The sequence below is a fragment of the Homo sapiens genome, chromosome 4 (assembly GCF_000001405.40).
Source record: "Homo sapiens chromosome 4, GRCh38.p14 Primary Assembly".
Lineage (NCBI taxonomy): Eukaryota > Metazoa > Chordata > Mammalia > Primates > Hominidae > Homo > Homo sapiens.
This window is the reverse complement of record NC_000004.12, coordinates 40088279-40114934: the sequence shown is the minus strand read 5'-3', so window position 1 is coordinate 40114934 and position 26656 is coordinate 40088279. Positions and strand designations below refer to the sequence as shown.

The following is a 26656-nucleotide window of genomic DNA, read 5'->3' as shown; positions in this document are numbered from 1 at the left end:
GAACTTAACTGCTAACACAGTAGATGTGTAAATAGTAAGAGACTACTATAATTGCTTTAATAGTCTTAATAAATTTGGAAACGTTGCTATAACGGAAAAATTCCAACTAAACATTCTCACAAAGAAAACATCAGATCCAAAGAATTTTTAAAGTAAATTCTAACATTCAAACTTAGATAAACCTAGAAAAGAAGAAAAGAGGAGATACTTCCCAATTAATTTCATGATCCTAAAACTATGATATCCCTGTCAGGCAAGACAAGTCAAGGAATAAAAAAACTGTAGGTCAATCTCATTTATTTATAAAGATGCAAAAATCCTAAATGAAATATCAGAAAACCAAACTCAGTAATCTATCAAAAGGAAATGAAAAGGAAGTAGTGACACATGCTACAACATGGATGAGCCTTAAAAACATTAAGCTAAGTGAAAAGATGCCAGACACAAACAGCCACATATTGTATGTTCCATTTATATGCAGTATACGCAACAGGAAAACCCATAAATACAGAACACACATTAGTGGTTGCCAAGAGGAGGGGGGAACTAGAGTAACTGCTTGTAGGCATAGGGCTTCTTTGGAGGAAATGGAAAAGTTCTGAAATTACATAGGGGTGATGATCACACAACACTGTGAATATACTAAAATTAGGTTGTCCTTTAGTACTAAAGTTAGTTGAAATTGCCAAGAAAAAAAAAATAGCCTAACCAAAATGAAGTTAGGGCTATCTCTATGGAAGTATAGAACACAAAGCAAAACAAACTGTACATCCATGCCTTGACTAACATTTTTATTCAAGTCAAGCAACTCAATAAAGAAAAAAGTATAGCCATAGTGGGAGGCAGGCATGGAGTGAGATATCTGGACAGCTGGATATTTGCTACCTTTTCCATCTCTATATCCGTACTACCTTCCAGTGCTCTAAATCACTAAGCAGCTACGACAATTCGCCCCTCCCAGTAGCACATAGTTCAGGTGTGCCAAATCCTAGGGTCTGTTCTAGCTTTAGATATTAACATATGATTCAAAGTAATAAAGTACAGGCTGGGCATGGTGGCTCACACCTGTGGTCCCAGCACTTTGGGAGGCAGAGGCAGGAGGATCGCTTGAGGCCAGGAGTTCAAGACCAGCCTGGGTAACATGGCAAGACCCTGTCTCTATATTTAAATAAATAAACGAATAAATAAAACTCAAAAAAGGTAGTAAGATACTGAGTATATAATACAAGGGGAATTTTTACCGTAAATTAACTCAATTTTAGAAACACAAAGAAACTCTTCATAAAACTGGACAAAAAGCCGTAAGCAATAGAAATTAAGTTACAATCTAATCAATTCATTCATCATTTACAAGGGGAAAAATCTAAACGGACCTTGTCTGTCTGTCGTTACATAAAAAGCATGTTAGGTAGCCTCCAAGTTTTACCTTGCAAGTTCCTTTGGTTTAAACTTCCACCATGTGTCTGGTTCCCGAAAAAGGACTTTATATTTGTGTTTCTGAGACTACATACAACAAAGACAAAAACATTTTAAAATAGGTATTTCCAAGAAATTAAAATTATTGTTTCCAAATATATAGCATGTAAAACGTAAAGATTATCTAATCTTGATGAGTGTGTTAAAATGGCAAAATATACAATCACTTTAACCCAGCAATTAACTATTAGAAATTTAGCTACTGATAAATACTTATATAAGAGCATTTATTTATATAATACATACATTAGATATATGCCAGGATAGCCAGTTTTCCAGTATTTGTAACAGCAAAAGGATACAAATAACTACATGGCTATTAATATAGAACTGACTAAATAAGTGAAGGCATAACCACAAGATGAAAATACTACACAGTAATATTTAAATTCTACATGTGCTAATGACAGAATGTTCTTTAAAAAAATGTTAAGAAAGGAAGATAAAGAATTTTCGGCCGGACATGGTGGCTCACGCCTGTAATCCCAACACTTTGAGAGGCCGAGGTTGGTGGATTAACTGAGGTCAGGAGTTCAAGACCAGCCTGGCCACCATGGTGAAATCCTGTCTATACTAAAAATACAAACAATTAGCTGGGCGTGGTGGCGGGCACCTGTAATCCCAGTTTCTCAGTTTCTGAGGCAGGAGAATCGATTGAACCCAGGAGGCAGAGGTTGCAGTAAGCCGAGATCACGCCACTGCCCTCCAGCGTGGGCAACAAGAGCAAAACTCCATCTCAACAACAAAAAAAAAAAGGTGAGCAAAAAAGAGCAAGAAGGGCAAGAAGAGGATTAGGTATAGGTCAGGTAAAGGCAAAGGACTTAAACATTAAAAGAAATCTGGCAAATTCAGAGAAAATAGCTGAGTTTACAGAATGCTGAATTTCTCAGAACAGCAAAATTTCAAAAGAAATTTAGGGAAAAACAAAGGACCAACAAATTTTGATTCTGCCAAGTATGAGGAAAAGGAAATAAATATATATAACATAGGTACAAACAAAAAAATAAAATTATAATTTAGTACCACTACCTTTTCATAAAAGACCCCAAAAAACAAAACAATCTTAGAGTTCAAAAATTGAATTTCAGAATTTAAAACTTTAACTTTATGGAAAAACTCAGCTAAATGGCCTAATTTCCTCATTTTGCTGAACACCAATGAAAGCTCATTTACAGACTATCCAAGGTTCTGAGATTCTTAAGTGCTTCAGATTCACTTTCATAATTAATGTTCCCCAATAATTGCATACAAACTGTTATAAACTTATGACAACTTATGGTACTAACCAAAGCAACATATGGTTTCATTTCCCATGCCTGTAGGTTTGTATTATCTATAATTATAGGAGATATCTTCTTCTCAAATGCTTCTTTTGCTGAAAAACATAACATAATTAAAAATCATTTTTTAAACAATACTAAGTATTATGATTTTCAAAAAATCTGATCTTTTCATAATTTGAAAATCATGATGTGCTAATTTTACTCACTGCTCAACTTCTAAATATCCCTTTGAGGACATAAAAATTAAGTAAGTATGGGTTGGCTGGGCATGGTGGCTCATGCCCATAATCCCAGCACTTTGGGAAGCCAAAGCGGGCAGACCACTTGAGGCCAGGAGTTCAAGACCAGCCTGGCCAACATGGTGAAAGCCCATCTCTACTAAAAATACAAAAATTATTTGGGTGTGGTGGTGCCCACCTGTAGTCCCAGCTACTCAGGAGGCTGAGGTAAGAGAATCACTTGAAACCAGGAGGCAGATGTTGCAGTGAGCCAAGATCAGGCCACTGCACTCCAGCCTGGGCAACAGAGTAAGACTCTGCCTAAAAAATACAAAACAAGGCCGGGCGCGGTGGCTCATGCCTGTAATCCCAGCACTTTGGGAGGCCAAGTCAGGCGGATCATGAGGTCAGGAGTTCGAGACCAACCTGGCCAACATATTGAAACCCCGTCTCCACTAAAAATACAAAAATTAGCCAGGTGTGGTGGCACGCACCTGTAGTCCCAACTACTTGGGAGGCTGAGACAGCAGAATCACTTGAACCCGGTATGCGGAGGTTGCAGTGAGCTGAGACCACGCCATTGTACTCCAGCCTGGGTGACAGAGTAAGACTCCGTCTCAAAAAAACCCCACATATTAAGACTGTCAAGTAAGAGAGAAAGACCTTGAGTAGAAAAATTAAAATCAAACTATAGTCTTGAGTTTAGTTAATAATAATAAACCAATTTCTTAGTTTTGACAAATGTATCCTCGTTATATTAGATGTTAACATGAAGGATAAATGAGTGAAGGGTATACAGAAGCTTTCCATAGTATCTCTGCAACTTTTCCATATATCTAATATTCAAAAATAAAGTTTAAAAACAAACAACAAAAACAAATGGACAAATATACACACACACAATGTAATGATCTGAAATAAAGAAAACATTATAATACACCATTGCACAAGGGATTTTCTTACCTTTCTTCCAAAGGAATTAGACCATACAGGAAATTAATGATGTACCACAACAAGTAAGTCTTACAAGTAATTTATTTGGAAGTTTTCAAAGTTCTGCCCAGTCTCTAACAACTCACTAATGAAGAAACAAAGAACCAATTTAAAAATGGGCAAAGGAGGCTGGGCACGGTACCTCACACCTATGATCTCAGCACTTTGGGATACTGAGGCGGGCGGATCACCTGAGGTTAGGAGTTCGAGACCATCCTGGCCAACACAGTGAAACCCCGTCTCTACTAAAAATACAAAAATTAGCCGGGCGTAGTGGCTTGCACCTGTAATCCCAGCTACTCAGGAGGCTGAGGCACAAGAATCACTTGAACCCAGGAGGCGGAGGTTGCAATGAGCCAAGATCGTGCCACTGCACTCCAGTCTAAGTGACAGAGCAAATATGAATAGACATTTCTCCAGAGAAGATATACAAATGGCCAAAAAACACACAAAAAGATGTTCCACATCATTAGCCATCAGAGAAAAGCAAATTGAAACCACAGTGAGATACCACTTCACACCTACCAGAATAGGAATAATCAAAAAAACGGACAATAACAAGTGTTGGTGAGGATGTAGAAAAGTTGAAACCCTCATAAATTATTAGAGGAAACATAAAAAGGTATGATTGCTTTGGAAAACAGCATGGCAGTTCCTAAAAAGGTTAGACATAGACATGTGTGTTTGTTTATAGCAGCACTGTTCTTAATAGCCAAAAAGTGAAAACAACTCAAATGTCTATTAACTGATGAATAGATTAATAAAATGTGATATATCCACCCAGTGGAATCTTACTCATCCATATAAAGGAATGAAACACATGCTACAACATGGATGAAGCTTGAAAACATTATACTAAGTGAAAGAAGCCAATCACAAAAGTCCACATGTTGTAGGAAATGTCTGGAATAGGCAAATTATCTATAGGGACAAAACACAGACTGGAAAGAAATGAAGAGTGACTGCTAATAGGTACAGAATCTTTCTGAGATGATAAAAATGTTCTAAAATTTAGCGTGTTCTAAAAGTTGCAGCAAAGCCAAATTAAATAGAGTGTATTAACGAATGCACAGCCCTGAATATTAAGTTCTAAAAACTACTGAATTATACAATTTAAATGGATGATTTGTATGGCACATGAATTTTGTCTTAACAAAGCAGTTTTAAAATGAATTCCGCCTATTAACATATATTATTGTTGCTGTTATAAGGGCATGCTGAACCATGCTAACACTTTTTTTTTTTTTGAGACAGAGTCTTGCTCTGTCACCCAGGCTGGAGTGCAGTAGTGGGATCCTGACTCACTGAAACCTCCGCCTCCCAGGTTCAAGCAATTCTCCTGCCTCAGCCTCTCAAGTAGCTGGGACTATAGGTGTGCACCACCATGCCCGGTTAATTTTTGTATTTTTAGTAGAGATGGGGTAACGCCATGTTAGCCAGGGTGGTCTCAAACTCCTGACCTCAGGTGATCCATCTGCCTAAGCCTCCCAAAGTGCTGGAATTACAGGCATGAGCCACCGCGCCCAGCCAATGTTAACACTTTTCACCTTCATTTAACTTTCACAACAATCCTGGGAGTTAAGTATTATTATTCCCTTTTACAAAGGGGACACTGGGCCTTGGAAAGTATAAGTAAATTGCACAAGATCATATAGCTAGTAACTGGTGAATCCAAGGGTGATCTTCATCACCAAATCATACTGCCTCCTTTGGTTTTAGTTATGTTGGCATTTTCAGATTCCTGAATTCTTAATCTTTAGTTCAAAAAAGAATATATAAAAATTTAACAATGTCTGAAGATGGCAAACCCAAGAATCACCTTTACAGTACACTTATCATAAAAGACTGAGGGCCAGGTGTGGTGGCTCATGTCTGTAATCCCAGCACTTCGGGAGGCTGAGATAGGTGGATCACAAAGTTAAGAGATCGAGACCATCCTGGCCAACATGGTGAAACCCTGTCTCTACTAAAAATACAAAAACTAGCTGGGCATGGTGGCATATGCCTGTAGTCCCAGCTACTCAGGAGGCTGAGGCAGGAGAATCGCTTAAACCCGGGAGGCAGACATTGCAGTGAGCCAAGATCACGCCACCGCACTCCAGCCTGGCAACAGAGCAGGACTCTGTCTCCAAAAAAAAAAAAAACTGAGGAAAATACAGTCCCTATATCTTAACAAGATTCTCCATAGAAAATTCAAACTATGCAAATAAACATTTAATGATAAAACTATCTTCACTGAATAGACAGTTACACTAGCAAGGAAACTAAATTTTTACCTATGATGTCCCCACAGATTCAGTTTAGAGAGTCGTTTTTATTCTCACACTATCTTCCATAAAAAGTAAACCAATTGCCAGGCGTAGTGGCTCATGCCTGTAATCCCAGCACTTTGGGAGGCCGAGGCAGGTGAATCACAAGGTCAGGTGTTCAAGACCAGCCTGGCCAACATGGTGAAATCCCGTCTCTACTAAAAATACAAAAATTAGCCAGGCATGGTGGCACGTGCCTGTAATCCCAGCTACTCAGGGGGAGGCTGAGGCAGGAGAATCGCTTGAACCTGGGAGGCAGAGGTTGCACTGAGCCGAGATCACGCCACTGCGCTCCAGCCTGGGCAACAAAGCAAGACTTCGTCTCAAAAAAAAAAGAGTAAACCAATCTAAGGAAAACCAGTGGTTAACTGGTCAAATTCCATTTCTGGTGGTTCAAATTCCATTTTAGAAAGCAGTAACCAGGCTGGGCATGGTGGCTCAAACCTGTAATCCCAGGACTTTCAGAGGCCGAGTTAGGCAGACCACTTCAGGCCAGGAGTTTGAGACAAGCCTGGCCCTGGCCAATGTGGCAAAACCCCGTCGCTACTAAAAATACAAAAATTAGCCAGGCATGGTATCACACACCTATAGTCCCAACTACTCAGGCTGGGAGGCTGAGGATGAGAATCCCTTGAACGTGGGAGGCGGAGGTTGCAGTGAGCCGAGATCACACCACTGCACTGCAGCCAGGGCAACAGAGCGAGATACTGTGTCAAAAAAAAAAAAAAAGATACATAGGAAACAACTGCAATTTCCTTACAGCTATTCTGAGACCCAAGCAGAAAATTAGATTTACTTCTCAAAAGATCCCTACTGATAACTTAAATATGCCACACAATATTCTAAGTACCTTACAAAAATTAACTCTTTGAATCCTTATAACCACCCTATGAAATAAACTCACCTCTTACTATGTAACATAAGAATTAATGTTAATGACAGTTAAAATTTTATATATACTATACAGTTATAGGCCACGCACGGTGGCTCACACCTGTAATCTCAGCACTTTGGGAGGCCAAGGCAGGCGGACCACCTAAGGTCAGGAGTTCGAGACCAGCCTGGCCAACACGGGGAAACCCCGTCTCTATAAAAAATACAAAAATTAGCCAGGTGCGGTGGCATGCACCTGTAATCCCAGCTACTCAGGAAGCTGAGGCAGAAGAATCACTTGAACCCAGGAGGCAGAGGTTGCAGTGAACCCAGATTGCACCACTGTACTACAGCCTGGGCGCAAAGTGAGACTCCATCTCGAAAAAAAAAAAATACTAAGCCAATTTAACTGGGCGCAGTGGCTCACTTCTGCAAACTCAGCACTTTGGGAGGCTAAGAGAGGCAGATTGCTTGAGCCCAGGAGTTCAAGACCAGGCTGGACAACAAAAAATACAAAAATTAGCCAGGCATGGTGGCACATCTGTGGTCCCAGCTACTTGGGAGGCTAAGGTGGGAGGATCACCTGAACCCAGAAGTCAAGGCTGCAGTGAGCCAAGATCATGCCACTGCACTCTAGCCTGTGCAACACAGCGAGACCCTGTCTCAAAAAACAAAAACAAACACACAAACAAATACTAAGTGAATTTTTTCTTTGTATTACTCATAACGTTACCCAGAATCTGATTATCTGTTCTTACCACGATTCTGGTTCCATTCATGTGCTTCTCCTAAGTACTTTACATCAAACTGGTACTGTCCATTTATATAAAAATAATCATCAGTACTAAGAATGACTCCACTTGGATTATCCTCTTGCAAAGTCCTGTGAAAGATAAATGAAATAATTTTCATTACCTTTTCTTCTAAATTTTCTCTCCTAATTTTTCCAAAGTCATAAACAAAATAAATTATTCAAGTACTATCATTTTGTGGATCACTTGAGGCCAGGAGTTCAAGGCCAGCCTGGCCAACATGGTGAAATCCCATCTCTACTAAACATACAAAAATTAGCCAGGTACGGTGGCATGCGCCTATAGTCCCAGCTACTAGGGAGGCTGAGGCATGAGAATTGCTAGAACCCAGGAGGCAGAGGTTGCAGTGAGCTGAGATTGCGCCACCGTACTCCAGCCTGGGAGACAGAGCAAGACTGTATCTCAAAAAAATAAATAAATAAAATAAAAGAGTAAAAATCAGCCTCGGCAACATAGCAAGAACCCAACTATACAAAAAAGACAAAAATTAGGCAGGTGTGGTAGTGTGCACCTATAGTCCCAGCTGCTTGGGAAGCTAAGTTGAGAGGATCACTTGAACCCAGGGGGTTTAGGTTACAGTGAGCCAAGGTTGCACCACTGCACTGGAGTCAGAATAAGACCCTCTCTCAAAAAAGAAAAAAAATTAAACACAAAGAGATAAATAAAAGAACATATTGTAATATTCAAACAAATCATACTAAAAATACTCTAAGCAGAAGTTTAATTCCAAAAAAAATCTGACCTAAGGCAGGTCTATTTTGCTTTATGTAAATTAATATTCAGAAACTTGTTTTTAATGTTACAAAGACCTTTTATCCTTAACTATAAAATCTTTATAATGGTTAGAAGATTAACAAATTTTTAATTATCCTTTTCTGAAAATATATGTCCCTTTCTGTAGCATCTATTAAGTGCCAGGCACTGTTTTAAGCACTGAGCATACATCAATGAACAAAAAAAGACACAAAAGCTTGCACTCATGGAGCTTACATTCTAGTGAATGCTCATTTGATCCCAATTCCTGTTTATCCTCTTCTCTTTGTAGCTTTCCCTTCTCTGACACTTCCTTTTTTACCGTTAAACATGTATATATCTCAGCTATCTTTAAAAATTCTAACTAGGCTGGGTATGGTAGCTCATGCCTATAGTCCCAGCACTTTGGGAGGCTGAGGTGGGAAGACTGCTTGAGCCCAGGAGTTTGAGATGAGCCTGGGCAAGCTGGTAAGACTCTGTCTCTACAAAAAATTTAAAAATGAGCCGGGTGTGGTGGGCCCATGCCTGTAGTCGTAGCTACTCAGGAGGCCAAGGCAGGAGGATTGCTTGAACCCAGGAATTCAAGGCAACACTGAGCTATGAACGTGCCACTGCACTCCAGCCTGGGTGACAAAGCAAGACCCTGTCTCTTAAAAAAAAAAAAAAAAAGTTTGAGACCAGCCTGGCCAACATGGTGAAACCCTGTCTCTACTAAAAATATAAAAATTAGCTGGGGGTGGCAGCAGATACCTGTAATCCCAGCTACTCAGGAGACCGAGGCTGGAGAATCTCATAAACCTGGGGAGGTGGAGGTTGCAGTAAGCTGAGATCACACCACTGCACAACAGCCTGGGTGACAGAGTCAGACTCTGTCAAAAAAAAAAAAAAAAAATTGTAACTACACTTTGGGACCCCTTTCAACTACTACCCAACTTCTCTCCTTCCTTTAACTCCATCATCAGAGCTTGTTAAACCCTTTTGTCCTCACAGGACAACAAAATTGTTTCTCAGATATCCATTTATGACCTTCTTTCCAATAAATTCAAAAGGCTTTTTCCACTCATCGTTTTCCTTTGGTTTGAATACTAGACCATTCTCTTCAAGACAACGCAGGATTGTTGGGCGTGGTGGCTCACGCCTGTAATCCCAGCACTTTGGGAGGCCGAGGCGGGCGGATCACAAGGTCAGGAGATCAAGACCATCCCGGCTAACACGGTGAAACCCCATCTCTACTAAAAATACAAAAAATTAACCAGGCGCGGTGGCAGTGGCTGTAGTCCCGCTACTCCGGAGGCCGAGGCAGGAGAATGGCGTGAACCTGGGAGGCGGAGCTTGCAGTGAGCCGAGATCGCACCACTGCACTCTAGCCTGGGCGACAGAGCAAGACTCTGTCTCCAAAAAAAAAAAAAAGACAACGCAGGTTCTATGTCTCAACACTCTTCCTGTTATTTCTCTCTCTTCATTCAAAAAATATTAAGTTTCTACCTTGTGAAAAGCACATTTTTCTTTACCCACACTGTAGCTGCCTCTGATTCTAAAGGCCCCTGAAACCTATTCTTCAAACTTGTCTCACAGCTCAACTGCCTTCTAAGGTACCACCTTTCAGTCCAATCTCTTTCATGAAACACACTGCCATGACTGACAGTAACATCTATAATATTAAATTGTTTTATGTTGTTGTTGTTATTAAGTCAGTTAGAAAAGCCTACATGTCTACTGAAAAATATGCTTATAAGTGTATCAGCAGAATATGTGGAAATTTACTAGCAGAGAAACCCAGACACAGAAAAGATATCAAAAAAAAAAAACTAAAAATAAGTTTATGAAGGACATTCTCCAGTTATCTATGCATATTCATTAAGACTAGACTAGATACACCCAGGATCAAATAGAGACCCAACTGATAATGTTAGAAGGCTAATGGTTAAAATTTGGAAAAAGGAAAAAAAAAAAAAAAGAACTAGCAAGCCAGGCGCGGTGGCTCACGCCTGTAATCCCAGCACTTTGGGAGGCCGGGGCGGGTGGATCACGAGGTCAGGAAATCGAGACCATCCTGGCTAACACGGTGAAACCCCGTCTCTACTAAAAATACAAAAAAGTAGCTGGGCGTGGTGGTGGGCGCCTGTAGTCCCAGCTGCTCGGGAGGCTGAGGCAGGAATGGCATGAACCTGGGAGGCGGAGCTTGCAGTGAGCCGAGATCGCGCCACTGCACTCCAGCCTGGGCAACAGAGCAAGACTCCGTCTCAAAAAAAAAAGAACTAGCATATAAAATAGATTAGGTGAAATCTTCTGGAATTTAAAGGTTAAGCAGGGATAGAGAGGGACTATGAAAACAATACTCTTCAAGGAGTGCCACTGAAACCATTACAAAGCTGCCTCTAACACTGACTCCTGTCTCCCAGATTAAGGCACTCACAGCCTACCTTAACTACAGAAGGGATAAAGGTGTATATATGAGATCAAATAACTGATGGTACTCTATTTTGGAACAGAAAAGTCCCTGAAAACTTGAAGTTCTCTGACTACCAGTTGTCATCCTATACTCTCTTCCTTCAAATCACACATTTCTAAAAGCATTATTTAACAACACTCTATAATCCTGAATTTCCAACTACCAGTAAAATTAATGTATTTAAGTCTTCCATTCCATGAAATCAAGATCAATTATATCTCTTTAACTCTGTGATCAAAGCTGAACTCATCTTTCTCCCACTCAAATTAGCTCTCTTCTACTACTACATCAATAGCTCACAATTTTGAAATTGTCTTTAATTTTTTCTTCTGTCTTTCAAAGAGATATTCCAAGATGAACGGTTTCAATAAACTTCCACAGAAAACAGTGTTATTAGCTACACAAAGTTAGGAAACCTTAGTAAAAAGAAAACATTTTAGGGGTTACTAAAGATCTCTACTAAGCAAAGCATTTTGCCTATTTATTCATACTTGTGTTCAAATTCAGACATTATACTATTTTTTAAAAACCCAATCAAACCTCATACCTTGCCAAAAAAGATTTTCCAGATCCCGGAAGACCTCTGAGAAGAACAAGAACTAGTCCAACGTAAGATGTCTTCTTTCTTACAACCTGAGAAACTGGGGTTTCTTGTACTTGATAAGCACTTGTTCCATCTTTATTTCTCCATACTTTTGTTGGGGAAGTGTGAGAAATAACTGAGGGTGGAAATGTGTAGTTGACAGATCTCCAGTGTGCAGCTGTGGTTACAACAGGAGCTACAAAGCCATGGTTTCCTTGGAAGAGGTCAAAAGCAGGAATCATTGGATTCCACATCGGTGGAGGTGGCGGAGGAGGCAACAGCAATGGGAGAGGAGCAAGTACCGGGCAGTAACTCACATCCTTCCCCTTAGTTGGCAGTTCAGGATGTTTGTGTGGCTTGAAGTTGAACCCTTCGGAAGGTAGAAACACATCAGAGACCCGAGTAGATTTCTGATCCCCACCTGTACCTGGTAAATCAAGCCCTGGAAGGTTTAAACAAGCCTGAGGTTCACTGGCATCCAAATCTACAGGAGCTTCAGAGAATTGAGCCTCAACGCACTCAGATTCTAAAAGTTCTTTCTGTTTTTGATTGAGACTGCTACAACCTGCGATGGAGTCACTTGCTACATTTAAAGAACTACTGAGAAGAGAATCTTCCGGGTAGTTACTTTCCAAAGCCAATGTGTTATCCTTTATAAAACACTTGGACTCGTTCAAAACTGAATGTGAAGGTAATGGGTTTAAACTTAAAGTAGAACCAGAATTCTCTAAATTTTCACCGTTCAAATTCATATTTTGTGTAGAAAAAATGGGAGTCATATTACTTGAATCAGGATTTATAAACTCACTTGAGTCATTAAAACTATTAACATCTTGTGAAGGCAAAAATGAGTATACTTGGTCATCAGGAGAAGAGTTCAATTTCTCAAAAGCATTCTGTATTAAGGAATCCAGGTCTTCAGTTAGCTGCATGTCCAAAAATGAATCCATTTTTGAATCTTCACTCTCTTCTTCAGGACGTTTTTCCATTATTTTACTTTCTGCTGCACCTACTTGGTTCTCAGAAGCAACGAAACTTTGTGAAGATGATTCTTCTATCTTGGTATCAGTGGCAGATAATTCTAATAGACAATCCATAGCATTTTCAACTGTACAACAACAAGAATAATAACAACAACAAAAATATAGACAGAGAAAACAGATTTAATAATTTTATTAAAATCCAGCTAAAATTATATTGGATTTTGCATTGAACAGAATATAAATGTACAATATTCATGTTATTTTTAAAAAATTAATATTTTATTAACATACCAAAGTCTGTAGTAGCAAAAAGTCTGAATGATGGAGACATGCAATCCTATTCTTTCAGGAAAACAGTAATAAACCAAGCTAATAAACTATCATCAAATAAATATTATTTGCTGAATTGAGTAAATACATAAATATCTGTAATTGGACATATTAGGCTTATTTATAAAAGTCCTAAAGCCTGTTGTTTAACAAATACTTACCTATTGCATGCAAACTTTTAAATATTAAGTATTTTATGTATTCTCTTAGTAAATCTAACTTATTTACATGATCCACGCTATGAATTTCACTTACTACAAAGAATATTTGAGCATGTACTGCATATCAGAAATATTTTGTAAAAAAAAATCTTTAATATGCTCAAAGAACTTTGCAATCTAATAGAGATTTAAAACAATTATATTAGAGACAATTACACTGTAATATAATACAGATTAAATAATGCACACTTTTTGGCGTGGTTGCTCATGCCTGTAATCCCAGCACTTTGGGAGGCTGAGGCGGGTGGATCACCTGAGGTCAGGAGTTAGAGACCAGCCTAGCCAACGTGGCGAAACCCCATCTCTACTAAAAATATAAAAATTAGCTGGGCATAGTGGCGGCGCATGCCTGTAATCCCAGCTACTCAGGAGCCTGAGGTGGGAGAATCTCTTGAACCCGGGAGGCAGAGGTGGTAGTGAGCAGAGATCGCGCCACTGCACTCCAGCCTTGGTGACAGAGCGAGACTCCCTCTCAACAATAAATAAATAAATAAATAATGCACACTTTTGATAATGTACAAATGCCATAGAAGCACAAAGGAGAATAAGAAAAGATCTCACATAAGGTGATATGTGAACTGGGACTTGAAGATTAAAAAGTAACTTGCCAGACACAAGAGAAAAAAGGGTAAACCCAGGCTTGGCTCTCCCTAGAAGGAGGTCGATTGGGTGAAATTGGGAGGAGTCCTGTATGTCATGTTAAGAAATATTAATTTTATTTTCGAAGGGAACTTGAAGGAAACTACCAGTCATAGCATTTGAGCTAGAAGTTTTATACACATCACCTCACTGAATCCTCAAATACTACCATGAGGTATATTATTCCTAGCAAACAGATGAAGAAATGAAGTTAAAAAGTACATTAACTTGACCCAAGTCACACAGATAGTCAGTGACAGAGCCAGGACTGGTATATCTGACTCCAATGCTGAGCTCGTTCTGTTATAACACAAATAGGGAGCCATTAGAAATTTTAAGGCCAGGTGTGGCAGCTCATGCCTATAATCCTAACATTTTGGGAGGCTGAGGCAGGTAGATCGCTTGAGCCCAGGAGTTCGAGACCAGCCTGGGCAACATGGAAAAACCCTGTCTCTACAAAAATTAACCAGTGTGGTAGCATGTGCGTATAGTACCAGCCACATAGGAGGCTGAGGTAGGAGAATCACTTCAGCCCATGAGGTCGAGGCTACAGTGAGCCTCTAGTGAAAGTGATTACTGCGCTCCAGCCTGGGCGACTGAGTGAGGCCCTATCTCAAAAAAAAAAGGAAACCAAAAAAAAAAACAAAATAAGAATTTTTAAGCATCTGAAGTTTGGAGGGAGGGGTTGTTTATTTTGTGTTTTGTCTTGCTGTTTTAAGAAAGATAAGTCTGGAAACAGCACAGCAGAGTAGGTAACAGCTCTGGTCTGGAGTCAGAACACCAACATTTAAATCTCTACTGCTGGCTATGACACTTTCAACAAGTTAACTTTCCTAAACCTCGATTTTCTCATTTGTAATATGGGGATAATAAAAGCACCTACCTCATAGGTTGCTGTGAGGATTAAATGAGATAATCCATGAAAAAGTGCTGTGCACAAGAACTGGCACCTAGTAAGCACCCAATTAAGTTCCCTTAAGAAGAAAAACAAAGAGGGATTGGAGGGGGCAAGCCTGGCAGAGACCAATTAGGAGATCATAGCAATACTACAAAGGACAGAAAACCTAAAAATGGAAGAAAAAAAAAGGTGGCGGGGGTGGGCAGGGACGGGGGAAAAAAAAGAAAGCAAACGTAAGGAGTATTTCTATGAAAAAAATCTACATGACAGTAAAACCAGAAAAGATCAACTAAAAACTTAATGTCTATACAATGAAAAATTACACTAAGTAAATTAAAGATCAAAATGGATAGGTACTTATCACATTAAAAAAAGTCCTTATACAGATTGCTGGGAAAAATTAAAACCATGGTATAAAAAAATTTTTTTTCAATGAATGAACAATTTACACAAGAATACAAGAATAAACAAACATGTACAAAAATGTTCAACATTCCTCTTTATTAAAAAAACACAAATTAGGAAAAATGCAATTTTATTCCTATTAAAATCTTAAAACATGGGCCGGGTGCAGTGGCTCACGCCTGTAATCCTAGCATTTTGGGAGGCTGAGGCGTGTGGATCACCTGAGGTCAGGAGTTCGAGACCAGCCTGGCCAACATGATGAAACCCCATTCTCTACTAAAAATACAAAAAAAAAAATTAGCCAGGCACAGTGGCGGACGCCTGTAATCCCAGCTACTTCAGAGCCTGAGGCAGGAGAATCACTTTAACTCGGGAGGCTGAGGTTGCCATGAGCCAAGATGGCGCCACTGCACTCCGGCCTGGGCAGCAAGAGCGAAACTCCGTCTCAAAAAACAAAAAATCTTAAAACACTACCACACAATGTTGAAAAGGCTGAAGTGAAACCACTACACTTATGCAAGCCTGGTGGAATTACAAGTCAGCACACCTCATTGGTAGGCAATTCAGCAGTATGCTTCCAAGAGCCAAAGCAGTTCTTACCCTGTGACGCAAGAAAATAAGATTTTGGAACTAAGAAAAAAAAGCCAAAAGAAAGAAAAAAATATTTTTACCAAGATGTTCTCTGCAATATTAATTATTCACGAAAAACGTAGATATAATTAAATAAACTACAGCACAACTCAGTAGATTAGAAACCCATTAAAAATACAGATTACAGCAACATAGACAAATGCTTATGTTAAGTTAAAAACGCATAATAACAAAATTCCACCACTCAAATCTCAAATGCTTATGAACAAGGTCTATAGAAGATTCTGGAAAACAAAAAAGTTTTTTTGTTATGGTATAGGATGATGTGGATTTCTTGTAATTCCTCATTGCTGTATTAGTTTATATGCAACAATTACATTTTAAACATATCAAAATTAGGAAATGTCAAAGTAACTTACAAAACTCAATATACTGTCATTTCTGAGCATCATGCACTGCTGACAACTGGTTTTCTACATGCATAACTGGACAAGATATGCTCGCAGACCACACGATGACTGAAACTGGAAGTTTATAACACATTACCAAAACTTCCCAAATCCAGAATAATTTTACCTTATACTAATCATGGCTAGTAACAATACTAAGCATCAACATTTAATTTACTCATCTAGCCAACTTATATAAACTCCCTTCTGTCTACATACTTCTAAACAATGTATGACAAGTTATTAATAACCTACCATACTGAAGACTTTACCAAAAACAAAAAACTAAAACTCAATCCTCACCAAAAAAAAGTCCTATGAAGCACATACTGTTATATTTCTACCTAACAGATTAGAAAACTGAGACTCAGGGAGATTAAGTGGCAGAGCTGGAAATCCAACCCACGTTTCTTGACTCCAAAGTCAATGTTTTGAAATTATACTATTCTGCTAGCCTCAACTCTTAATCAGCTCTTATTTGCATAATTATAATTACCTAGTTGCTTAATAGATATTTACTTAGCTCCTATTATGAGTCAGTTGCTATGTTACGGGCTGAAGATACAGGAGTAAAACAAAGTTTTTAAAAACTCTGTCTTTATGGAGCTTACATTCTAGGAGAGTGGTTCTCAACGAGGTACAATTTTGCCTCCCAGGGGACAAATGACAATACATGGAGACATTTTTTATTGTCACAACTGGGTGGTAAGGAGCTATTGGCATCTAGCGTGTACAGGCCAGGGACGCTGCTAAACCTACAATGCATAGGAGAGCCACTCAAAATAAAGGATTATGTAGCCTGAAGTGTCAACAGTGCCAGTCTGTTCTAGAGTGAAGATGAAAGAGACAGAATATGCTATCTATACAAATACCTTACACCTAGAACTGCACATTTCTCAAGAGCAGAAAATATGTTTTATTCTTCATATCCCAAATACCAACTCAAATACCAACCTTAGTAACTTGCCAACAGCAGATGATTAATAAATTATGAATAAAATAGAAACAAGACATTTTTCTATATTACTATTAATCATGGCATAGTACACAAAGTCTTCTTATAAGATGGACAGGGTTCAAACTAAACTTTTTCTCACCTTTGAAATCACATTCAGAAAGCATCAAATACACTACATCAGGATCCAGATCAGAAAATATCTCTGAGATACTGGTGAAGAGTTCTTCCTGATCAACTTTTGTCTCACCCATGGAAGGTAGAGTAGTGGTTGGCTCCTCACGACTAGCAACACTGGATACGACAACTTCCTTAGGGTTTGCAGTCTTCCGAAAAGGATTTCCCCCAAGATTTTTCCTTCTCCTTGGCATTCTGACTTCCAAAACTAAAATGTTTCCCTTTTCTTAGTTAAGATGTTTGACATTTAAGTCATAATTCAAACAAAATAGGGTTAAATATCTTGCACAATCCAGCAGTAAAAAGACCTAAAATAGAAAGCAATTAAAAACACTCAGACTATATATATTTCCATTTCTAAAATCGGAATGACATCTTTATTTAGCTCTAAGAAAGTACCACCAACTCTAACAGCAGAGCTAAAAAGTAGTCAATTTCTCTCTCTTCAAAATATGCAGGTTTTGCCAGGATTGAACATGTTAAAAATTAAGATGTTAACAATATGTATTTCAGAACAATGAATACACTATTTCAATACATTTTTTCATTTTTAAAAACACGAAAGTCTTCATAAATATAATTAGAATGCGTACTGAACACCTATACTCAGATGTCCAATAGGCATTATAAATTTAACATGTCCAAAACAGCTCCTCATCACCCCCTTCAAACCTGCTTTTCCCAGTCTTTCCCATCTCAGTGCAACTATATCCTTCCAATGACTTGGGCCAAAATCTTGGAATAATCCTTGACTCCTCTCATCCCACATCCAACTGGTAAGCCAATTTTGTCAGTGCGACTCTCAAAACATATCCAGAATACTATCATTCCTCACTGCCACCACCCTAGACTTAGCTACCACAGCCTCTTGCCTGAATTACTATAAGTCTCCTATCTCTTGGTTTCCACCCTTGCCGCTTCAGTCTATTTAGCACCAAAGCCAGCGTGACTCAATTAAACCACATGGTGGATCATGCCTTTCTTCTACTAAACTATCCACTAGCTCCCTAACTCAGGACAAAAGCCAGAGCCCTTAAAATGGCCCATAACCTGGACACTGGTTACCTCTGTACTGTCCTTTCCCTTAGCCACACTTAAGTCTCCTCACTCTTCTTCAAACACACCAGCAATGTTCTCCCCTGGGAACCTTTACACCTTGGTTCCCTCTACTGAACCACTTTTCTCCAAGTATCTCCTTATCACCTTCTTATCATTATTCAAATGTTACCTTCTCAGGACCTCAGAGCCCCAACACCATTTATCCCACTTTCCTACTTGAATTTTCTCCATAGGACTTATTGTTTTCTTACATAGCATATGTTTTACATACGTATTGTATTTACCACCCATATTCCAATAAAGTGTAAGCTCCACAAGGGCAGGGACTCATACCTGGAATAGAACTACAGGCAGTCTACTTGTTTTCTCTGCTTGAATATATCTAATAAACATTTCAAACTTAACATATCCAAAACTAAATGTCTAATATATTTCCCAAAATCTGCTCTAATCATTGGGTCTGACACCTGTCATCTTTCAACCATATTCCAACCTCCTACCTGTTCTCCCTGTTTGCAACTTTGTCCCCCTATAGTCTATTTTCAATATACCAGCCAGACTGAGCTTTATACGATGTAAAAAGGGTCTGATCTAAACCCCTATATGTTCTCCATATCACTCAGAGAAAAAACTAAAGTTCTTACAATGACGTATCTCTCTGCTAGCCCTTGATATACTCTTCCTCAAGATATCTGCACGGCTAACTCCTGTACTCCTTCAAATTTTTGTTCAAGTGTCACATTCAATGATTTCTCTATTGATTATCCAACTGAAAATCATATACCCTGCTCCCTCTGCCCCAATCTCCCCTTTCCTGCTAACTATCCATTGCCCTTATCATCTTCTATTGTGTTATAAAATTTACCTTTTAATTAAATTTGTATCATAGCTCTCTCCACCTTCCAGAACTGCATTGTCAATATGGCAGCCACCAGCCATATGTTCCTATTTAAATTTAAATTAATTACAATTAAATAAAAGTACATTTATATATTAATATCAGACATAAGCAGAATTCAGAGCAAAGAAAATTATCACAGACAAAGAAAGGCACTGTGTAATGATAAAGGATCAGGCCATCAAAAAGATATAGCGGGCTGGGCGTTATGGCTCACGCCTGTAATCCCAGCACTTTGGGAGGCCAAGGTGGGTGGATCACCTGAGGTCAGGAGTTTGAGACGGGCCTGGCCAACAATGGTGAAATTCTGTCTCTACTAAAATACAAAAATTAGCCAGGCGTGGTGGCATGGGCCTGTAATCCCAGCTACTCAGGAGGCTGAAGCAGAATTGCTTGAACCTGGGAGGCAGAGGTTGCAGTGAGCCAAGATAGCGCCATTACACTCCAGCCTGGGCAACAAGAGCAAAACTCCATCTCAAAAAAAAAAAGATATAGTAACCCTGGCCAGACTCAGGGGCTCGCGACTGTAATCCCAGCACGTTGGACAATGGGCAGGAGGATCACTTAAGGTGAGGAGTTTGAGACCAACCTGGCCAAAATGGCAAAATTCTGTCTCTACTAAAAATACAAAAAGAACTAACCTGTAGTCCCGGCTACTCGAGAGGCTAAGGCAGGAGAATCGCTTGAACCCAGGAGACAGAGGTGCAGTGAGCCAAGATCACGCCACTGCACTCGCGGTGGCTCACACCTGTAATCCCAGCGTTTTGGGAGGTCGAGGTGGGCAGATCACCTAAAGTCAGGAGTTTGAGACCAGCCTGACCAACATGGAGAAACCCCATCTCCACTAAAAATACAAAATTAGCCAGGCAAGATGGTGCATGCCTGTAATCCCAGCTACTCGAGAGGCTAAGGCAGAATTGCTTGAACCCATGAGGCAGAGGTTGCATTGAGCTGAGATCACACCATTGCACTCCAGCCTGGGCAACAAGAGCGAAACTCCATCTCAAAAATAAATAAATAAATAAAAATAAAAAAGATATAGCAACCCTAAATGTATATGCACTAAAAAGAGCTACAAAATAAGTGAAGCTAAAACTGAAAGGAGAAATAGACAAATTCACAATTATAGGTGGAGACTTCAACACCACTCTATCAACAACAGACAGAATAAACTAGACAGTAAATCAGCAAATATATAGAACTCAACAACACCAATAATTAAGGATCTAATCAACACTTACAGAACACTCCACCCAACAACAGCAAAATACACACTCTTTTCAAGTATTAACAGAACACATACCAAGATAGATCATATCCTAAGCTAAAACCAAACCACAACAAATTTAAAACAATTGATATCACACAGGTATGTTTTCCAACCACAATGGAATCAAACTAGAAATCAGTAACATAAAAATTTCCAAGCAATATACATCTAAATAATCCATGGGTCAATGATGAAGTCTCGAAAAAATTTTTAAAATATAATAAATTGAATGCCAATGAAAATATACCATATCAAAATTTGTAGGCCAGGTGTGGTGGCTCACGCCTACCTGGATTGTAATCCCAGCACCCTGGGAGGCTGAGGTGGGCAGACCACTCTGAGCTCAGGAGATCAAGACCATCCTGGGCAATATGGTAAAACCCCATCTCTACTAAAAGTACAAAAATTAGCTGGGCGCGGTGGCTCACACCTGTAATTGCAGCACTTTGGGAGGCCGAGGTGGGTGGATCGCCTGAGGTCAGGAGTTCAAGACCAGCCTGGCCAACATGGTGAAACCCCGTCTCTACTAATACAAAAATTAGCCAGGAGCGCTGGCACGCGCACTGAAGAAACAGAAGCAGGAGAATCGTTTGAACCCAGGAAGCAGAGGTTACAGTGAGCCAAGACAGTGCCATTGCACTCCAGCCTGGGCGACAAGAGCAAAACTCTGTCTCCAAAAGTAAATAAATAAATAAATAATAATAATAAATAAATAAATAATACAAATACAAAAATTAGCCACGCAAGGTGGCACACACCTATAATCCCAGCTACTCAGGAGGCTGAGGCAGGAGAATCACTTCAACCCGGGAAGCAAAGGTTGCAGTGAGCTAAGATCGAGCCACTGCACTCCAGCCTGGGTGACACGGCAAGACTCTGTCTCAAAAAAAAATTGTAGAACATGGCTAAAGCAGTGATTACAGGAAAATCTATAGCACTAAATGCATACATTAGAAAAGAAGTCTCAAATGAATAATCTAAGCCCCCACCATAAGAACCCAGAAAACGAAGGGCAAATAAACTCAAACCCAGCAGAAAGAAGAAAATAATAAAGAGTAGGCCGGGGCCAGGCATGGTGGCTCATGCCTGTAATCCCAGCACTTTGGGAGGCTGAGGCGGGTGGATCACCTGAGGTCAGGAGTTCAAGACCAGCCTAGCCAACATGGTGAAACCCTTTCTCTACTAAAAATACAAAAATTAGCTGGCCATGGTGGCAGGCGCCTGTAATCCTAGCTGCTCCGGAGACTGAGGCAGGAGAATCGTTTGAACCCAGGAGGCAGAGGTTGCAGTGAACTGAAACTGCGCCATTGCATTCCAGCCTGGGTGACAAAAGCAAGACTCCATCTTTAAAAAAAAAAAGAGCAGGCCGGGCACGGTGGCTCATGCCTGTAATCCCAGCACTTTGGGAGGCTGAGGTGGGTGGATCACCTGAGGTCAGGAGTTCGAGACCAGTCTGCCCAATACGGTGAAACCCCGTCTCTACTAAAAATACAAAAATTAGCTGGGCATGGTGGTGCACGCCAGTAGTCCCAGCTACTTGGGAGGCTGAGACAAGAGAATCGTTTGAACCCAGTAGGTGGAGGCTGCAGTGAGCTGAGATTGTGTCACTGCACTCCAGCCTGGGCAACAGAGCAAGACTCTGTCTCAAAAAAAAAAAAAAAAGGAAATAATAAATAGCAGATAACAAACATTGGAAACAGAAAATAATGAGAAAATTCAATGAAATAAATTGCTGGTTTACCCAAATGATCTATAAAACTGAAAGACTAGCAAGACTGACAAAGAAAAAAGAAGACAGAAATTACCAACATCAGGAATGAAAAAGGGATATTACTATAGACCTTGCAGATATCAAAAGGCTAATAAAGTAAACTATGAACACACAAAAGTTTGACAATTTATATGAAATGGACCAATGTCTCAAAAACCACAAAGAATCAAAACTCATCCAATAAGACAAAGATAAAATCACTATAATTTATAAAGAAATTTAATTCATAATTTTAAAACTCAAAAAAAAAAATTTCCAGGGCCAAATAGCTTCAATGGAAAATTCTAACAAACATTTTTAGGAAAAAATAATACTAATCCTACATAATCTCTTCCAGAAAATAAGAAAGCACTTCCAATCCATTTTATGATGCTAGTATTATCCTGATACCAAAAGCAGACAAAGCCAGTACAAAAAAACTACAGACCAATACTCCTCATGACTACAGACACAAAAATCCTTAACAAAATACTAGCAAATAAAATTCAGCTATATATATATATATATATATATATATATATATATATAATTTTTTTTTTTTTTTTTTTTTTTTTTGACACAAGGTCTTGCTCTATCACCCAGGCTGGAGTGCAGTGGATATAACTGTTTTTATATATTGTTGAATTTTGGCGGGGCATAGTAGTTCACACTTATAATCCCAGAACTTTAGGAGGCTGAGTTGGGAGGATCGCTTGAGCCCAGGAGTTCAGGACCAGCCTGGGCAACACAGTGAGACCTCAACTCTACAAAAAAATTTAAAATTAGCCAAGCATAGTGGTACGTACCTGTGGTCCCAGGTACTGGTGGGCAGGGTGAGGTGAAAGGATCACTTAGGCCCAGGTGGTCGAGGCTTCAGTGAGCCATGATCACACCACTATGCTCCAGCCTGGGTAACAGTAAGACCCTGTCTCAAAAAAAAAAAAAAAAAAAAAAAGGATTGTATACTATAATGAAATGGGGTTTATTCCAGGAAGGCAAGGCTAGTTCCATATTCAAAAATCAGTATAATCCACCATTTTAATGCGTGAAAGAATTGTATCAATCAATGCAGAAAATAATGACAAAATTCAACACCATTCATGGTAACTACCAGAAAAACAGGAACAAAAATATTCTCAACCTGATAAAAGCACCTACAAAAACCTACAGCTGACATTGTATTTGTAATGAAATACTAAACGCTTTCCTCCTAACATCAGGAAAAAGGCAAGATATCTACTCTCACCAATTTTATTCAAAATAATGCTGGAAGTTCTAGCTCATGAAATAAGAGAAAAAAAGAAAATAAAACGCATATAGATTAGGGAAGAAGAAATAAAAGTGTCCCTATTTGCAGATAACATGGTTATCTATGTATTACAGAAAATCCCAAATAATCTATAAAATCTCCAACAAGAAAGTGAGTTTAACAAGGGTGCAAGATACAAGATAAACATATAAAAGAAACTGTATTTATACATACTAGCAAAAAACACATGGACACTGAAATTAAAGAAACAGTACCCTTCACAATTGCAAAAAAAAAAAAAAACAGAGAAATACACTAAGTCCTCACTTATTAACCTCAATAGGATCTTATAAACTTTTTTTTTTTTTTTTTTTTTGAGACTGAGTCTCGCTCTGTCACCCAGGCTGGAGTGCAATGGCGTGATCTTGGCTCACTGCAACCTCCACCTCCTGGGTTCAAGCAATTCTCCTGCCTCAGCCTCCTGAGTAGCTGGGTTTACAGGCACATGCCACCACACCCAGCTAATTTTTGTATTTTTAGTAGAGATGGGGTTTCACCATGTTGACCAGGCTGGTCTCGAACTCCTGACCTCAGGTGATCGGCCTGCCTCAGCCTCCCAAAGTACTGGGATTACAGGCGTGACTCACCACGCCTGGCTGTAAACTACAACTTTAAGCAAGACAATACATAACCAATTTTTTTCCTCATCAACATTATAACAGAATGACGTTGAACGAAAGTATGTTGTTCAAGGACCTGATACATGTCGTTTCACTTAAAATCACAGTTTCCGAGAACCTATTGATGATGTTATGTGAGGACTTCCTATATTTCAGCACATAGGTATAAATCTAAGAAAACAAGTACAAAACTTAATATGCTGAAAACTGTGAAAGAAATGTTCAAAGATGGGAAGACAACACAGTAAATATGTCAATTCTTCCCCAAATTGATATACACGTTTAAGAAAATGCCTACCAGAACCCAAGCAAGATTTTTTTATAGATATAGATAAAATTATTCTAAAATTGATAAGACAAAGGAACTAAAATAGGTAAAATAGCTTTGAAAAAGAACAAAGCAGGAGGAATCGCAACCTGATTTCAAGGGTTTCTGTATGGCTACACTAATCAAAACTATGTAGCATCAGTGGAGGGACAGAAATACAGACCTGATAACAGATTATAGATCTGGGAACAAGAGAGAAAACCCAGCAACATAAGTGTGCCTGACTGATTTTTGACTATGGTGCAAAAGCAATTCAATAGAGAAAAGACCACCTTTTCAACAAATGATACTGGAACAAGTGGACATCAATCAGTAAAAAATAAACCTTGACCTAAGTCTCATGCTTACCCTTTAGTATTCTTGGAAATTTACAGAAATATTTACAGAAATATTAACTCGCAATGGACCACAGATTTAAATGTTTAAGACATAAAGCTATAAAATTTTCAGGAAAAAAGGGGAAAATCTCTCCTTGTGGGAACTAAAAAAGAGAGAGAAAATCTTCAGAAGCTAAGGCTAGGCAAAAACACAAAAGCATGGGCCATAAAAGGAAAAACTGATCGTGGCTGGGTGCAGTGGCTCATGCCTGTAATCCCAGCACTTTGGGAGGCTGAGGCATGCAGATCACTTGAGCTCAAGAGTTCAAGACCAGCCTGGCCAACATGGCGAAACCCCGTCTCTACTAAAAATACAAAAATTGGCCAGGTGTGGTGGCATGTGCCTGTAATCCCAGCTACTTGGGAGGCTGAGGCAAGAGAATGGTTTGAACCCAGGAGGCAGAGGCTGTAGTGACCCAAGATGGCACTAGTGCACTCCAGCCTGGGTGACAGAGCAAGACTATGACTCAAAAAAAAAAAAAAAAAAAGGCAAAACTGATAAATTATAGTTCATCAAATCAAAACTTTTGTTTGATGAAAGACCTGGCTAAAAGGATGAAAAGACAAGCTACAGACTATGAGAAAATACTTACATACCACATTCAGGATAAGGACTAATATCTAAAATCTATTAACAACCTATCAAAACTCAACAGTATGCCAGGCATGGTGGCTCATGCCTGTAAACCTAGCACTTTGGGAGCCCAACAGGGGCTGAAGAGGGGGGGAATCCCTTAAGCCCAGGAGTTCAATACCAGCCTAGACAAAATAGTGAGACCCTGTCTCTATGAAAAAATAGAAAACAATCAGCCAGGCATGGTGGCACGTGCCTATAATCCCAGTTACTCAGGAGCCTAAGGTGGAAGGATCCTTTGCAGCTGGGAGGTTGAGCCTGCAGTGAGCTATGATCATGCCATTGCACTCCAGCCTAGGTGACAGACAGAGACTCTGTTTCAAAAAAACACACACAAAAAAAACAAAAAATAAAAACCAAACAATTGGAAAATCAGCAAAAAAGGAGAAAAAACACTACACGAAAGAGGAGATACAGGTGGCAAATAAGTACATAAAAAGATGTTCAACATCACTAACCATTAAGTAAGTGCGAATTAAAACTCTAATGAGGTCAGGTGCGGTGGCTCATGCCTGTAATCCCAGCATTTTGGGAGGCCAAGGCGGGCAGATCAACTGAGGTCAGGAATTCGAGACCGGCCTGACCAACAAGGAGAAACCCCGTTTCTAGTAAAAATACAAAATTAGCCAGGCGTAGTGGTGCATGCCTGTAATCCCAGCTACTCGGGAGGCTGAGGCAGGAGAATCACTTGAACCCGGGAGGCGGAGGCTGCAGTGAGCGGAGATCACAATATTGCCCTCCAGCCCGGGCAACAAGAGCGAAACCCCATTGCAAAAAAAAAAAAAAACTATAATGAGATATTACTTACCTATCAAATTGACTAAAATAAAAAACAGGTACAACACCAAATGATGGCAAGACTTCAAAGAAACAACATCACTTATGGTTGCTGATGGGAATGTAAAATGGTACAGTCACTCTGAAAAATATTCTGCAGTTTCTTAAAGAAACTAAATATACAACTACCATACAACTCAGCAATTGCACTTCTGGGCATTTATCAGGACTGAA

General features: G+C 39.4%; 1 protein-coding gene across 12 annotated transcripts in view; it reads right to left on the bottom strand.

The window, feature by feature from the left end:
• Positions 1–26656, bottom strand: part of N4BP2 (NEDD4 binding protein 2) — a 133621-nt gene that overhangs the window by 75536 nt on the left and 31429 nt on the right. For 4 of the 12 annotated variants that reach the window (NM_018177.6, XM_047415954.1, XM_047415955.1 and 1 more), the window contains 5 exons: positions 17366–17708; positions 11717–12860; positions 7911–8035; positions 2763–2851; positions 1427–1503 (listed from right to left, as the gene is read on the bottom strand). In NM_018177.6, coding sequence (NP_060647.2) covers positions 1427–1503; positions 2763–2851; positions 7911–8035; positions 11717–12860; positions 17366–17594 — 1664 coding nt within the window. In that variant the 5' untranslated portion in view covers positions 17595–17708. Of the gene's footprint in view, positions 1–1426; positions 1504–2762; positions 2852–7910; positions 8036–11716; positions 12861–14808; positions 14900–16238; positions 16344–17365; positions 17709–26656 lie in introns of those variants that run through there. The other 8 variants (XR_007057942.1, XM_011513716.3, XM_047415953.1 and 5 more) reach the window with 5 other exon arrangements.